Genomic DNA, 17,215 nt, shown 5'->3' with positions numbered 1-17,215 from the left:
TGCCTGGAGAAACGTGAGAATTGCTTCAGTGACTCATTCCCTCAAGGTTGTGGGGAGGATGAATTTTGGCTTAAATGCCTTTTAATTTGCAGGTTTAATGGTGAAAGTTACCAATCAGAGCAGGGTATGTATTCATCATCATTCATTTAAAACCTTTTCTTTAATTTGGAGAGCCACCACGTAAGAAATGTTTTGAAGGTGAAACCCCGTCTCTACTAAAAATACAAAAAATTAGCCGAGCGTGGTGGCAGGTGCCTGCAGTCCCAGCTACTCAGGAGGCTGGGGCAGGAGAATGGCGTGAACCCAGGAGGCGGAGCTTACAGTGAGCCGAGATCGCACCATTGCACTCCAGCCTGGGTGACAGAACGAGACTCCGTCTCAAAAAAAAAAAAATGCTTTGTGGTCAGCATTCTCTCTCCTTGGACTGCCTGGTATTCTCTTTCTTATAGTGACATTGTCTGCTAACAGAAGACAAATGTGCCAGGATGATGGTGATGTCCTAAGTGAGAATCATCTACTCAATCTCTTACTTCAAAATGTTTTCCTAAAAACTCTTGCCCCAAACCCCTTCAGATGTTAGATGGCAGTTGACAATAGAATGGGGGATTGGTAGGAATTATGGGGCAGCACAGACGATCTATCTAGGATGCATGCATGTAGTTGTAGACTTTATCAGATATGTGTGGACTGAAGAGCTATATAAAGGAAAAGCCCATAGTATGGGTGGTTTTTGAAAATCATAGCTAAGATGAATTCTGGGCTCTGAATGGATTCACACACACACTAGGCTTGCCCCAGACTTCAACTCTTTTTAAAACCATAGTTTAAACTTTGCTACCAAGGACCAAGCACTTGGTGGTGTAAAGTAGTGATCAGGGCACCACCTCTTTTTCTCCGCCTGTCCTTCTGAAGCATTCCCCTGCCTCTGACTAGATTACCGTCTGTTTAAAGACAAGACCAGATTTATGTTTTTTGGATTTCCATTCAGTGTCCACCACTTACATATTATAGGTGCCCAATTAACATGTGTTGAACAAATACAGTTGGAAGAGCCACCCCTGCTCTTTGCTGCGGACAAGGGAAAATACATCTCTATGCTTTTTCCTTTCCATTTCAGAAACTAGAAGGGGGTGGTAACCCTGCCTTAGAATTTTTTCTGGTCCAAGGTAAAGAATAGTGTCTGATTCTGATCTTGTGCCAAGCCTTTGTATACTTCATTTCTAAAAGTAGAAATTAAAGGTAAATGGCCCTGCTGTTTGAAGTGGTGCTATTATAGGCTTTGCTTCTTGTGTACTACGATGCCCCTAGCAATATTCTTCTTAGAAGCAGGACGATGTGAATAGAGAACCCACCTTCTATACAGCAGTAATATATGTTGGTGTTTCCATCGTGGGAAGGAGAACCAAGGCAGATTCAATTGTCCCTTCATGGATTGAGACTCCCCAGTTTCTGAGAATCACTGTCCTTTGCAAGTGTGTGTGTGTACACACATGTGCACATGCATGTAACAATACAAGTCCACCAAGAAGTAGTTACTCGTAGGAAACTGAGACACTGCAGGAAGAATAACAGAGTCTCCTTCCTGCCACTGACAGGTGCTTCAGAGGGTTTTCAGAGTAGCCCAGACTGTGGCTCCTCCATACTGAATGTTTCTAGGCATTATCATGTCCTGAGGGTGGCCATGGTGGAGAAAGGACCTAGACAAGTCCAAATATTGTCCATAGGGAGAAGGCTTGAAAATGGAAATGTGAAGAATGGACTCTGTCTTGAAGAGAGAAGCAAGGCAGGGAGCTTGGTTTGCAATATCAACTCTTAACATTTATTAAGGGCTTGCCATATGCCAAGCCCTGTGCTAAGCACTCTATACTCATTTATATATTGTAAACACCCTATGAGCAAAGTGCTGTTATTGTCCTTGATGCGCAGATGGGAAAACTGAGGCATGGAGCGTTGAAGCAATTTGCCCAAAGTCACATAGGAATGATAGATTAGACTTAGATTCATGCATTCCAGCTGCTTCAGAGCCACACCCATAAAGACTATGCCACCTGCCTCTCACATTCCTGAAGGTACTGTGGTAAAGGTGTGACTTTATCCTTATAACTTTGTTAAACTCTGGGAACAGCCTGATGCAGAATCCCCATACAAGCTATTTCCAGGCTGTCATTTTTCTACCTTTCAGTAAGGCAGACAGCATACACACAGCCTTGTGTTAATGTGTGAAATTAAGGAGAGAGTGGAGTAGGAGAGCTTGGATTTCCCTGACTTACATAGAGAGGGGAAGATGCTGTCTCTGCATTCCCAGAGGGAAAGTGCAGTCAAGGAAGAGCTGGGGGCAGTGTTGGGGAGATGGCTGCCATGTGGATAGATTGGCGGGGTGGGGGAGTTGGCGGGGGGCCTTTCACTAGGAGGATGGGACCTAGGGAGGTGGCGCAAAAAAATAAAGATCGCAATGAAGCAACCCCTAACACCTGAGCAAGGGCCACAGAAGGAAATGGCACTTCTCTTGTTGAAGCAAGAATAGTATGGCTTCTTTGTCTGAAAGATAGAGATAGGGATAGAGAGAAAATTAAAAGTGGTATTAAAACTCCCTAGCTGGTTAAGAGTAACTTGGCACTTTCAATAACTTATTGCACTCAATTTGCAATTTCAGGGCGTTGTGTAATTGCCAAAAAGCAACAGTCGTGGGCTGTATTTAGTCCCACTACCTTATTCACATGTAGTCAAGCATATTTCTTAAATAATTTCGTGTTTTGGGTACTGCAATTTAGTGGCTCTGCAAAGTGGCACCGGAGGGTCTACAGACCCTTGCTGAGATGGGTCAGGACGTGGGTTCACACATGGACTGGAGATGGGTGGGTGATAGAGGGGTTGCCTATCTGCCCACACCCCTCCGGATTTGTACCTTCATTGTCCCGAATGCCTTGGTTAGCACTTCCTCAGAAAACCTTGAGATATGGATTCAAGTGCAAGTCATTTATTTGAGGGGTGACCCCAGGAAGTACTGGGTTGGGAGTGGGAAAGTGAGATAGGTAATGGAAGGAGGCTAATACGAAGAGCTTTTATCAGGCAGTTTTCACTGTGGGCAACAGGGTCTTATTCCCACTGGGGTACCAGTGTGGAATATGTGCCTCAGACTTCTTAAAGGTTGAGGGAGGTCAGTCATACCTGAGAGCTACTTCCAGGCGGGGTTATTTTCAGGTACTTCCAGCCCGCTGTGGCTGGGAGAGACTTGGGCCACCATCAGGCAAAGAGCTGAGATACTGGCAATTGGAAGTCAGGCCAGAGTGCACAAGGGGTATGGTTGGAGCCCCAACTTCTCCTTCTAGATCCCTCTCAGCCCCATGACTATTCACCCTCAGGTCCTCACCCCCCTCAAACTTTGCACCTTCTCAGCACAGGGCTGGGTTGTGGCTCGGAAGAGGAAAAAGCTCACTACCCTCTGTGCCCACATCTTGCTTTCCTCTTCACACTCATTGAAACAGTGACACACGTAGTCATTTGCTTTCTGGGCTAGCCAAGAAAGTCTTTTTTTCTTAAGGTTTCTGAGACACTGGCAAGATCATTATTTTATGAGATCTCGCCATAATGACTTGACTGGAGAGAATGAATTGACTGGAGAATTAGGCTGAGAGCCTGCCACCCATTAAATCATTGCTCCAATGTAAGCCTACTTTTAGAGTTCTTAAAACGTGAATACAAATTTTTGGAAGAGATTCTCTTTGTGAGTTGGGTGTGGTCTTGGTTCTGCCTGTCCTCTGGGGTATGTGTGTCCAGGGTGTCTTCTCCATTATCACAGTGGCCCTTTGGTTGTCTGTATTTGGATAAATGGGGTGGAGCACAGGATAAAATGCTTCAGAATTTGAGGCCTCCGTTCCAGGATCTTGTGGTGGAGGAGAACACCTGTTCTTTACCATCTATTCAAGGGGAACCATCTTACCATCCCAATTCAAGAACATCCAATGTTCTTGAAGTGTTCTAGACAGAGGGCCGAGCTTCTCGTTAATCTGGGACATGCTCTTCTTGGGCGGTGGTGATTTATTGTGGGCGTGCATGTGTTCTTGCCTAGGCAATAAAAGAGGTGCAATTGAGCTGTTGGGTTGATTTATTTGGCTCTTTCCTGGTATTGTCAAGAGAGCAGACACCTTAGAGAACTTGTGCAAAACTCAAGGAACAGACTGAAGGTGAAGAAAGTTCAAAAGGCAAGAAAAAAAATCATAAGATGGATGCCGTAAGGGCAAAAAAAAAAAAAAAAAAAAAGAAATGGGGCCAAGGCAAACTTGTGAAATCTCAGCCTCCCTTCTCATTTTCCATGTCCTGCAAGATCGATCCAATACCTAAACAAAGGATTGTATGAACTGGACCACAGTCAGATGTGACTACAAAATTACAGACCAAACAAAGGACCACAACTGCCTAGGGAATCTGTTTCCCTCTTCATTCCTGTTCATTTAAATGTAATTCTTAGTCACTCTTGTGAGACAATTTTAAAAATAGAAGCTCTGAAATCCATTGGCAGGCTACTTGTTGACAAGCTAAAACTGTCAGACGCTTGATTGTTCCAAAGAAATGGAGAAAATCAACGGAGGCTACAAAATCTAGCCCATAAGTAAGAGACAAAATCAATAGAGGGTTCTAGCCTGTATGGCAAATGCTATCTTCCTTGCATATTCCTCTTTCTATAATCATTCTTGCTTCCTGAGTCCAAGATTTGATGGAAAAATTCGTTTTTACGGCATGAGGGAGCCTTCTGGTGTGCTCCAGAATACTCTATAAGAGAGGTCGACAAATTTTTCCTGTAAAGGACCAGATAATATTTTAGGCTTCACAGACATGTGGTCTCTGTCATCACTACTCAACTCTGATGGAAGTGCAAATGCAGCAGATGATACGTAATCATACGTAAACAAATGGGCACAACTGTGTTCCAGTAAAACTTTATTTACAAAAAGGAGGCCGGATTTTCTGTTTGTGGGCGGGAGTTTGCTCATGCCTGCTTTACATCTTGAGCTGAATGATAGTTTCATAAGCATATAGATATGGCAAATTTCACCAAGCTCTGGCCCGCTTAGGATTTTGCACATTGGTATTTAGGTTATGCCTCCATTTTAAAAAAATGAGATACAACTTTTCTCTTTAATAAGCATAGTGTCATAGATTTTCTGGTGAATCCTTTTAAAATTGGTGTCTGCAATAGATAGGGTATTGATGCAGCAGCCTGTAACAGGGATCCACCACAGTGGCTTGAGAGTTGATTTCTCTCTGTGTACTGTGGCTCCACCCATTAGGGACCCAGGCTCCTTCCCCCACTTGCTCTGCTACCTTAGCTTGTTATCTTTGTCTCCCTGGAAAGGAACAAGGAAAAAGGGGAGAGGGGGGCACCACCTTTCTTTTTTTTAAATTTTTAATCATTATGGATATATAATAGTTGTACATATTGATGATGTACATGTGGTATTTTGCTATAAGCAAACAATGTATAATGATCACATGAGGATAGGTGGCATATCCATCACTTCAAGCATTTATCATTTATTTGTCTTAGGAACATTTTAATTCTACTATTTTAGTTATTTTGAAATATACAATAAATTATTAACTATAATTGTTCTAGTGTGCTACCGAACACTAGATCTTATTCCTTCTAACTGTATTTTTTATTTTTAGAATTTTTATTTATTTTTTGAGACAGAGTCTTACTCTGTCACCCAGGCTGGAGTGCAGTGGCGCGATCTTGGCTCACTGCAAACTCTGCCTCCTGGGTCCTAACAATTCTCCTGCCTCAGCCTCCTGAGTAGCTAGCATCACAGGTGCACACCACCATGCCTGGCTAATTTTTGCGTGATTTTTAGTAGAGACAGGGTTTTGCCGTATTGGCCAGGCTGGTCTCAAATTCCTGACCTCAGGTGATCTGCCCACCTCGGCCTCCCAAAATACTGGGATTACAAGCACGAGCCACCGTGTCGGGCTCTAACTGTATTTTTTAAAATACAATTAACCTTGAGTAATTGCCACACTGTCTTCCACAATGGATGAACTAATTTACACTACCACCAACAGTGTAAAAGTGTTCCTATTTCCCCACAAGCTCTCCAGGATCTGTTGTTTCCTGACTTTTTAATGATCGCCATTCTAACAGGCGTGAGATGGTATCTCACTGTGGTTTTGATTTGCATTTCTCTAATGACCAGTGATGATGAGCTTTTTTTCATGTTTGTTGTCTGCATAAATGTCTTCTTTTGAGAAGTGTCTGTATATACCCAAAAGATTATAAATCATTCTACTATAAAGACACATGCACATTCATGTTTATTGCAGCACTATTCACAATAGCAAAGACTTGAAACCAACTGAAATGTCCATCAATGACAGACTGGATAAAGAAAATGAGGCACATATACACCATAGAATAGTATGCAGCCATAAAAAAGGATGAGTTCATGTCCTTTGCAGGGACGTGGATGAAGCTGGAAACCATCATTCTCAGCAAAGTAACACAGAAACAGAAAACCAAACACCGCATGTTCTCACTCATAAGTGGGAGCTAAACAGTGAGAACACATGGACACAGGGAGGGAAACATCACACACTGGGGCCTGTCAGTGGGTGGGGGGCTAGGGGAGGGATAGCATTAGGAGAAATACCTAATGTAGATGACAGGTTTATGGGTGCAGCAAACCACCATGGCACGTGTATACCTGTGTAACGAACCTGCACATTCTGCACATGTATCCCAGAACTTGAAGTACAAAAAGAAAAAAAAAAAAACCATTAACAATTCCCTTTTATACCCCCATGCCCCACTACCCTTCCCAGCCTCTGGTAATCATCATTCTACTCTCTATGTCCATGAGATCATTTTTATTTTAGCTCCCACATATTAGTGAGAACGTGTGATATTTATCACTCTGTGCCTGCCTTATTTTGTCACATCATTTCTTCTCTTATCCCTCTGGCCATGAATCAAATAAAGGCTGGGCATTCTGTTATTATAGAAGAAAGGAAGAACAAATATTGAAATATTGAGAGTCTACCAGCAGTCTGGTCTTTGTCTCCCAGGGAATATGATATCTGTTTCCCCAATGGCTTTTAACAGACTGTTACTTGTCCTCTGTATGTGCCAGTGATAAGTTGGGGGTTCTATAAAAATGATGACTTTCCAGATTCTAAATCAGAGACAGTAGAGAAGATTAATTGTGCTATGCTTATATTTATTCCTCTACCTATATTTACACACGTGGAACAATATTTTAATTAAATCTGACATCCTTCAGAATGAAACAGAGCCTGTTCTATTACAGGGGATTTTTTAAAACAGGTTGGATAATTACTGGTGTGTGGGCAGTCACCCACATATAATGACTCTTCAAGTCAAGTTAGTGATGGGAGCATCTTAGCCCAATCCCTGGACAAGCCCTGGCCTTCCCATGATCACGGTGAACTCTCCACGCTACAGAAAAGCAGAGGGTGGCCTGGGAAGTGCAAATGGTGAGGTGTCTGGGCAGGGACATCTTCTCCAGTGCAGCATGGAGGCTTGGCTTGATGAAAGCCAGCCAGGTGATGGCAGGATCATTGGGCTGCTGGGGAGAAGGCCTGGGCTTCATTCACTCATAATTCCAGTGTGATCTTGATCCAATTGCTTCATTTCTCTGAGTCTGTTTCCTCATCTCTAATGCAGTGATTCTTTGCTCTAGCCTTCTCTTGAGCCAAACATTCACAGCTGAAGTTATTTTGGAACCCTCTCCCCTTGGTTGTCTTGCAGGCTATGCCAACTCCACTTGTCAAAACAGAACTTACTGTGTACCTTCCTAATCTGCTCCAGTCTAGTGACCATTCCTGCTCATTGCTCTGAAATGCATCCGGCTGGATTATTTGAAGTGTCATTGCGCCTTGCTTTTGCTCTGGTCTCTGCCTGGATACCCTTTCCTTCCTTCTTTTTGGGATCAATTTGCAATCTTTCTTCCAAATAGCAATCACCTCCTCTGTGAAGTCTCCCCTGATACCCTCTCTTCCTCTCAGGTTAAGTGCCACTTCTGTCTCCAGAGTCTCATGGATATGTCATGTTTGCCTCTTGGTGTTGACATTAATTGTGTATCTCTCTATTTCCTCTTGGGAGCAACTTGAATGACCACTTTCTTAATTCACTTTTTATCTCCAGTGCCAAGCACTGTGTTTGCTATTGGTAGGTGACTATGAACGTGTGTTGCTTTTGAGCAATCTGTTGATATGAGGAAACTCGATGACTTGTAGAGTCTGTGCCAACTGTAAAATACTAGGACTCGCCATCTCCAGCATCAAATATCTGAAATACTGTTGCAGGTGTAGTGGTGAGAGCAGAAGTTGGGATCTTTATTGCAAGAAAAGCAGTCATGATGACGTGGGAAATACAAATTCACTCCCCAAGCTTCTGAGTGCCAGCTGTACCAGGCAGCATACCAGGGCCTGGAAATACTGCAGAGAACAGGCAGTCTCTCCCTGTAGGGCCATTCCATTCCCCTGGGGGAGATAACAGTTCCTGCTCTCTTGGGGAGATTGGCATGAGAGCCAATTGATGAGGAAATAGAATATCAGGTCATTGCAAGCGCCCGGAGGCACAGAAAGCAGGGTCAGGGAGTGGAGACACTGAAGGGAAGGAAGGTCTTTGTAAAGAGCTGACATCAGAAGAGACTGGAATGAAGCGATAGTGAGAATCGCATATCAGGAAAAACTTGGGGAGAGGTTGGTGCGTGGCATGGATGCGGAAAAGCTTGGCTCTTCTCATGGAAATTACTCCTTTTCAACATCCATTCTTAATCTGGGAAGCCGCATCAAGTAGATGGGCTCAGGAATCAGTCAACCCAGAGACCAGCCAGAGCCTTAAGGTGGGACCTGCTGGGAACAGATTAACTGGGCCAGGTAGATTTCACCCTTCAGGATTTTGAACTGGTAATACAGAAAGGATGCACAAGTTGCAGGCACAGAAAAACAGATGAGGTTATCTGTGGAGACCAGCTGGGTTGTGTTAATGGTGGAGAACTTGGATGAAGATCTGGGGACTGGGAGAGCAGCCTGAGGTTCTAGAATTCTCCTCCACCTGCAGGCTCTGAGATGGTCAGAGAAGTATCTTGGCATCTAGGACCCTCCATCTCCCTTCACTGCTCCAGGTGCACTCCAGTATTAAACCTCTCTTATTTCAGGAGGCTGAAGGAGCATCTGTTTCTTGCATCTAGAAGACTTCAGGCGAAAGAATTTGAGGGGTTGAAAGCAAACCTGCTAAGACATATTCCAAGGGGATTTAGCTCCGGGGCAGTAGATGGAGGCTCTGTGTAGTGCTCTGATTTCTCCTAGACAGCCTTTAAGAAACCAAAGTATTAAGTCAGCTCTTGCCTAAAGAGACATTCAGCAATTTCCAAGCCCATGATGTAGGGTTGGTAATGATGGGGAAGATTTTCCACAGACAGCTCATGCCATATCTGTGCATGGGTGCCAGTGCCTGGCCTCAGTGTCCTGCCTTTATTCTGGATGGTGGGGATAAATGATCTCTTTTTCTGGGTGGTAGGCTTTCTTGGATTTATGGACTTCATCCATGGAAGAGCGGAAACTAGACTACCCCTTATCAAAATTGGCAGAGGTGGTCTTATTGTCTTGGAGGCTTTGGGGTTAGGCCCAATTAGGGCTGGATTTCAGCTCTACCACTCACTGGCTGGGTCTTTGTAAACCTTCGTAACTTTTCTGTTAACTGGTAATAAAAAGTTCTTCCACTTAAGTTTGATGAGAAAACTAAATGAGAATTATTTTAAAAGTAAAGTACCTGGTGAATATGGGTAATGTAATAAGGTTGTTTAAGGTCTAGGAGACCATGTAAGGGAAAATACACTTTCATAGTTGAGCAAACAGCCTTAGATTTGCCTGGTACAGATATTGCAAAGTCTTTACAAGCATAAATAAGTAGTGTTAAAATAAGATTTGTCTGGCTGGGCACAGTGGCTTACACCTGTAATCCCAGCACTTTGGAAGGCCAAGGTGGGCAGATCACTCGAGACCAGGAGTTTGAGACCAGCCTGGCCAACATGGTGAAATTCCATCTCTACTAAAAATACAAAAATTAGTCAGGTGTGGTGGCGCACGCCTGTAATCCCAGCTACCAGGGAGGCTGAGGCACGAGAATCACCTGAACCCGGGAGGCAGAGGTTGAAGTGAGCCAATATCACACCACTGCACTCTAGCCTGGGCGACAGAGTGAGACTCTGTCTCAAACAAACAAAAAAAAAAAAGATTTGTTTGTGGGGTTAACCTGACATTGCTCCTTTGGGATAAATAGGTGGTGTGATTATAGAGTTGGTGAGAAATCCATGCACAGAACTGTTAACTGCTTTATCAGAACGCTCTTGCTAGCAGCAGATTTGACATCAGAATTTTAAGAACTGGGTGTGTTTCCTGACTCTGTTACGCTGCACCATTGCTAGTGTCGCACTGATGTTTCACCCATTTTTGTTTCATAGTGCCAGCCTTTGTTCCTTCAGAGCTGATTTATCATCTCTGAAAGTTCTGGATGTCCAGGCATCAGTGGTGAATCTATCAAAGATGGCCCATGATCTCTTGGAGGCCTGACTCTAATCATCAGGATTATCCCATTAGGGATAGAATGGAGGCCACTCTACATGCACCTATTTGGTCTTTGATCATTCTCATGCCCCCAGCCAAAGGGAAATTGAGAAGGCTGTCTGGGTGATCAGAACAGTTGTCCATGACAAATTGAATGGAGGTCACCTCCTCTGGGGTTCCTGACAACTGGGAATAAATCCAGGCTGATGACCCAGATGGGAAGGCTGCCCAGTATGTAAATGGTCAGTCATCATTCTTGTCTTGCTGGACAGCTTCACGGAGATTAATCTCCCTAAAGCTGTCCGGCACCCTGAGTGAGGTGTCAGTTCAGGTGATTTCCCCAGTGTCCCGTTCTGATCTCTGCTGTCCGCTTGCAAGCTTTCCTAAAAGGATTCTGCAACACAGGCAAAGTATTTGTTGCAAGAGTACAAGGCAGCAAATGCAAGGTATTTGTTTGGGATTGATATCATTAGAAGGAAGAAGAAGAAAGGGTTGGAGAGGATGACAACGAAAGAGAAAACCCTGGACACTGGCATATTCAATGTTCTTTTTAAAAGAAGAGGAGAGTGTGCGTGAATTTCTGGTTTCAGATCTGACTTATCAACTACCAATGAAACTTTACAGAATGGAATTCCAAAGCATACATGCTCCATTCTGAGTGAAAGTCAATAAAACCAGCCATACATATTTATTGCCCCTTGTAAAAATAAGATTGTGTCTTTATTTTTTAATACAAATTATTTTTAATGGAGGCTCTGCAGCCTGTGTAACCCTGTCCCCAAGCTTCCCTACAATCTCCCATAGCCGTTCTGAAATTTACATTTAGGAATGTTGTTTGCTGTGATAAACTGTTCAGTTGTGCTCCATTGGCTTTAGACCATTTAACCTCAAGACAGCTGCCTCTCCACCACTTCAACCCAAATATTCAATATTTTAATTTCATGCTAAGATGTAAAGAACGATTTGTGTTTTTCAAGTGTTGAAAAGAGAGAAAATACCCTTAAATGGCGATAGTAATGTTGCTTAAAGGAACTGTGTATGATAGAAGTTAGAGGATGGGAACCCTATTTTGTAATCCCCAAAATTGTGATCTTTCCATTAAGTTGTTATTTCATATAGAACTTACTGTCAATTTAGACCTCAAGTCCTACGTATTGTTACTAGATGACAGCTTCCCAATCTGATCCCTTTGCACTTAATATTTTCCGCCTGAAGTGAAGGACCCTGAGTTGGCGGTTACCTGTCATCTGGGTAACATTGGTGTCTGAATTCAGCTTATTTAGGTTTACTTTGATCAGAGTTCTTTCAGAGACTCCCCGTCCCACACTCAGCTTTGCGCCACCTGCAAATCTTGTAAACCAGTATAATAAGGTGATCCTGGTTAGGACTGGACCTTAGTCACAGCTTTGGGGACCTCAAAGAACAAATACTGAACAAATAGGTAGTTAAATGTTGGGGGTGTGTATTTTGCTACATAAGAGAGGGAGATGTGGATTTATATTTGAGGCAAACTATCCCTTTGTTTTGAGAAAACTTTCTTTTAGTTATATGAATATAAAGCAAGTGGTATCTATTGTTATTGAGGAAGGCCTTTGCTGTGGTCAAGTAACTAGATTTTACTGGGAAATCTCCCTATTTCAATTTGATTGCATACATTGCATACATTTTAGTAATATAATTTGTGTGCATCTTTTAGCTGGGTTATGTCTTTGCGGACTTCACAGTTTTTTAGGGGACGAGCTGCTACTTTTCTCAGTAAATTTAATTGTAAGTTATGTTTGGGAGGATGCACGTGTGTTCTCGTCCTAGGAGCTGTTTGCAGGACATCCAAAGGGAAGAACCTGAGAACTGCAATAAGGCCTGACAGCATGAGTTCTATTTCAGCCTGGACCACTGCCGTTATTTAACTCTGAATCATCCTGATGACCTTGGGAAATGGATAATTAGACTATTGCCTTCTGATGATTTGGGGGGCCCATGTTTCTAGGGAGTGGTCCCACTGTATTTAATCCGGGATAGAGTTTAATTTTAGAACAGAAAATAAAAAACTGGGGAAGGAGATCTTGAACTTGGGTGATGGAAAATATTCCTTTCCTTCTCAGCCCTCAACTGGATAAGTAGTTGTCTGTATCCCTCTGTGCGTCACTTATTCCCTGAAACGGTGGTGTCTGTTTTGCTCATCACTTTACCCCCACGCCTAGCATGATGTCTAACATGCAGCAAGCAATGAATATAGATTTTTTTAAGTGAATGATAGAATGAACAAATACTAAAAATGTTCACCAAAGGATGGCTAAATATACAGCATTCTTAGAATAACTGTACCTTAAATTACAAGACGTCTTCCTTACTAGAACGTACAGTTTTTGAGGGAAAAACAAAAAGACACGGTTCAGCTTGTCATCCAGCTTTTAATGAACCACCATTTGGGTCCTATTTATAGTGTGTTCTCTCTAGCTGGGTGGAAATGGGTTGGTTTTACTTTCCAATGCATGGGGACAAGCTGTGAAAAGTGCGTATCAAGATTCATTAAAACAAAAATGAAAGCAAGTTCAGTCTCCAAACCATCTTCTTTCCTTCATTGTAACAAAGAGTTTGCATTTAATGTTGGATCCTGAAACAAAAGTTTGCCCAAGAGTCAATTGTCCCTCTACCTAAGCCTGTTTCCTTCCAGAAGCAGGCAGTTTGTCAGGCCCCCAGAGGGAGGCTGGATCCCTGCAGAAACGGCTTTGAGGGTAGTTCTTTCAGCAAGTACACCATGTCTGTTTCTGGTTTGGCTTTTCAGTTTCCTGGAGTTGTTCTTTTGAACAGAGCGGGCAAAGCCTTGCTAAATACTGCAGCTCATTGAAACCCCAGTGTTGAATCCCCATTTCGGATTGTTTTCAATGTATTGAACTCCCCTGGCTCTCGTGAACTTTCCCTTGGTTCACTGTAGAGGGTGGGTGTTGGAGTCCTGGGAGACTTCTCATATTCTGTTGTTAAACAGCTGTTTCCAGAGGCCTGTTACCCTCACACCCACACAAGTCTGAAAATAGCAGCCATGTCCCTCCCTGTACGGTCTGTGCTTTCAAAGGCACAGTTTTCTCAGTTCTGCCTTGCAGTTGCCTTCATTTCTCTTTCTGGTAAACAAAGAATCAGGCTATTTTGTTTAGTTGGTTACAAGTTGTTTTCAAAACACTTCAACCATGGTAAGCAACAGAATACATAAATGCAACGGACGTAAACCAGGGAAACAGCCAACTTTTTTCGATGCTTGCTCTTTTGGAAAGTGTTGGCTGCTCTGGCATAAAGGAGATTGTTTTGTTGACTTAACAGTCCGTATCAGAGTTACCCAGGGCTTACTTATGAGAACTTCTGGAAGAATAGCTCCCTGCTGCAGAGGGGGGCTCCTCTTCTGACATTTGCTTTTCAAAACTTTTTCTTTCACTGATCTTTTCAAGTTTTTAGTTGTTTTTAAATTGAGCTGAGATGTGCATAACATAAAATTGACCATCGTAAAGTGAACAGTGCAGTGGCATTTAGTACATTCACAATACTGTGCAACCACCACCTATGTCTAGTTCCAAAATATTTTCATCACCCCCAAAGAAATCCCTATACCCATTAAGCAGTCACTCCCTATTCTTCCTTCGCCCCCTAGCGCCTAACAGCAACCATTCTTCTTTTTGTCTCTGTGAATTTACCTATTGATATAAATGGATTCATATAATATGGGATGTTTTGTGACTGGCTTTTTTCACTTATCATAACGTTTTCAGGGTTCATCCATGTTGTAGTGTGTGTCAGTATTTCATTCCTTTTACAGCCAGATAATATTCGTCATATGTATATACCACATTTGGTTTATCCATTCATCTGTTAATGGATAGTTTCCACCTTTTGGACATTGTGAATAGTCCTGCTATTTATATTGGTGTACACTTATCTGTTTGAGTGCCTGTTTTCCATTCTCTTGGGTATATACCTAGGAGCAGAATTGTGGCATCATATGGTAACTCTGTTTAACTTTTTGAGGAACTGTCAAACTGTTTTCCACAGTGGCTGCACCATTATACATTCCTACCAGTAGTGTACAAGGGTTTCCATTTCTCTGCATCCTCATCAGCACTTGTTATTTTTTATTCTTTTGATTATAGTCATCCTAGTGTGTTTGAAGTAATCTCTCATCATGGTTTTGATTTGCATTTCCCTAATGACTAATGATGTTGAGCATATTTTTGGAAGCTTGTATATCTTAGTATATCTTTGGAGAAATGCCTATTTAAGTTTTTTGCCCATTTTTTAAATGGGCTGTTTGTCTTTTTTGTTGTTGAGTGCTAAGAGTTCTTTATATGAGTCCCTGTATACTAGACCCTTATCAGATACAAGATTTGAAAATATTTTCTTCTATTCTTTAGGTTGTCTTTTCACTTTCTTGATAAATGTCCTTTGATGCACGAACATTTTTAATTTTGATGAAGCCCAATTTCCCCAATCCTTTTTTACACAAAGGCATGGAGGTGCAGATGGAAGAGGTCTAGTTGTTCCTGGGTCTAGCTTATGAACTAATTTGACCCTCAGAATATTGTTGAGCTGTGCTTGTCCTGGCTACAGAATTATACCCACAGGTTTTATTTGAAGATGCTTCATTTAAAACCATTATAATTTTGTATTTTACTTGTCTACAGATTTTCTTTATGTTAGAAAAGTGTACTATTATAAATCTAGGTATTCTTGGCTGGAATATGTTATTTACCACTGGAGCTTAGAATATGCTGTTACTTAGAAAGAGTGGAGTATGTAATTGATGCCACCCAATATTATGTCTGTAGCTCAGACCGCTCTTCTGGACTCTGAATTCATGTGTCCATCTTCCCAAGGGTGTTTACTACACATTTTGAATTTAGAGTATTCCCAATCAAATCCTTGTTTTCTACCCTCCTTTTATTAACACATGCTGGCCTCCTCAGTTTTCTACATCTCAGCAAACAGCAGCTTCATTTTTCCAGTATCTTAGACCAAACACACTGGATTCATCCTTGATTCTTTTCTTTCACATCCTACATCCAGATCATTAGCAAATTCTGCTTATTCGACCTCCGAAATATGGACATATCTCTTCGCCTGCAGGGGTATCAGCCAGTTAAGCCACATCTTAGTAGCCTAGATTCTTATCCTCTCACTCGTCTCCTGTTTCCCTCTCTTTTTTCTCTACAACATATTCTTCACATATAGCCAGAGGAATCCTTTCCAAAGGAGCATCAGGTCATGTCACTCTGGTGCCCCAAACCCTGCAGGGGGCTCCCATCTCACTGGAGTGAGGCCCCAGCATGCACTGCCCGCCTTCCTCTCACCATCTGCTCTGATGTCCTTGCACGCCCCTCACCCCAGGCTCACTCTGCTGTAGCTCCCAGGCCTTGCTGTTTCTCAAGGATTCCACTGGCTGTGTACTGCTGTCCCTTCTGCCTGAAACACTGTTTCTCCTGGAAACCAAAGAGCTCATCCCTCACTGCCTTCAGGGCTCTGCTCAAAGTTCTTCTGCATCTGGGAGTCCTGTTTGACTCTCAAGCAGAGAGTCCTGCTGGCACAGCGCTCTCCACCCTCCTTACTCTGCTTTTCCTTCATCACACTTTGCACGTGGCTACTTTTACATAGCACATAATAGACATTTATTGTCTGTCACTATTTATTAGGTTGATGCAAAAGTAATAGCAGTTTTTACCATTATTTTCAGTGGCAAAAACTGCAATTACTTTTGCACCAAACTAATATTTCCACCAACACACACACACACACACACACACACACACACACACACACAGAGTTGAGGTCCAACTGAACAGCTCAATAAAGAAAAATTCTGCATTCCATGCACATTGTGTGACTTTCCTTCATCGATATGAAAAATAGAGGGACTGGATGCATAGTAGTTTCTATTTCACGATGACCTTCAAGGTCTGCATTGCAGCGCCCATTCTGAATTACTCAGTGTATTGATTTTTAAACAGGAGTGCCTCCATTTGTGTGATGCAGTCCATTGTGCTCCTAATCCATTCATTAGGGATTCCCAAGTTGCCTTCATACAATGGACCACATCTCTTTGAAGAAACTATTATGGATTTCCATGTGGAGTCCCAGAGGATTAAAATAAAGCCTTGAAGGTTAGAGGAGTTGCCCCAGTCTTGTGATCTGTTAGGCCCTCTGAGTCATCTTGGCAATTGGTGATCCCAGTTCATAAGATTCCAGGAAATGTGATTGTATCAAATGATAGCATCTAACACGAGAGCAGTGACTCTTTCTGTTTCCTCTTTTTGTAACACAAAGGAAATTCAAACAAGTGTTTTTAGGTCTTATTGCATTTTACCAACTCTTTTCAGATGGGGAGAAAGTGTTTGGCATTCATTTTCTAGGTCATCAATATGTTCCGGGTAGAACACTCAAAGAAGGCTAGGTGGAAGTGCCAAAGGGATTACTGAGTGCACTGTACCCGTTTACCAGATTAAGAAACTAAGGCCTATGACCCATGTGGCTTGCCTGGGGTCCCAGAGCTAAATACTGGTAGAACAACTTATTTGAGGGAACTGAAGCATAGCAGATTGAGGTTCCTTTCCAGTGACTGCACAGCCACTCAGGGAAGAGCAGGAACTAGAAC

General features: G+C 42.6%; 3 annotated features.

The window, feature by feature from the left end:
• Window positions 441–540: an enhancer, noted in NCBI's record as "active region_29440". NCBI's record gives its function as "activates an Ori minimal core promoter by ATAC-STARR-seq in GM12878 lymphoblastoid cells {active_cell/tissue: GM12878}" and the evidence as "EXISTENCE:reporter gene assay evidence [ECO:0000049][PMID:35858748]".
• Window positions 13,694–13,743: an enhancer, noted in NCBI's record as "active region_29439". NCBI's record gives its function as "activates an Ori minimal core promoter by ATAC-STARR-seq in GM12878 lymphoblastoid cells {active_cell/tissue: GM12878}" and the evidence as "EXISTENCE:reporter gene assay evidence [ECO:0000049][PMID:35858748]".
• Window positions 15,863–16,002: an enhancer, noted in NCBI's record as "active region_29438". NCBI's record gives its function as "activates an Ori minimal core promoter by ATAC-STARR-seq in GM12878 lymphoblastoid cells {active_cell/tissue: GM12878}" and the evidence as "EXISTENCE:reporter gene assay evidence [ECO:0000049][PMID:35858748]".

This window comes from Homo sapiens, chromosome X (genome assembly GCF_000001405.40).
Source record: "Homo sapiens chromosome X, GRCh38.p14 Primary Assembly".
Taxonomy (NCBI): Eukaryota; Metazoa; Chordata; class Mammalia; order Primates; family Hominidae; genus Homo; species Homo sapiens.
This window is presented reverse-complemented; position numbering and strand designations above follow the sequence as displayed.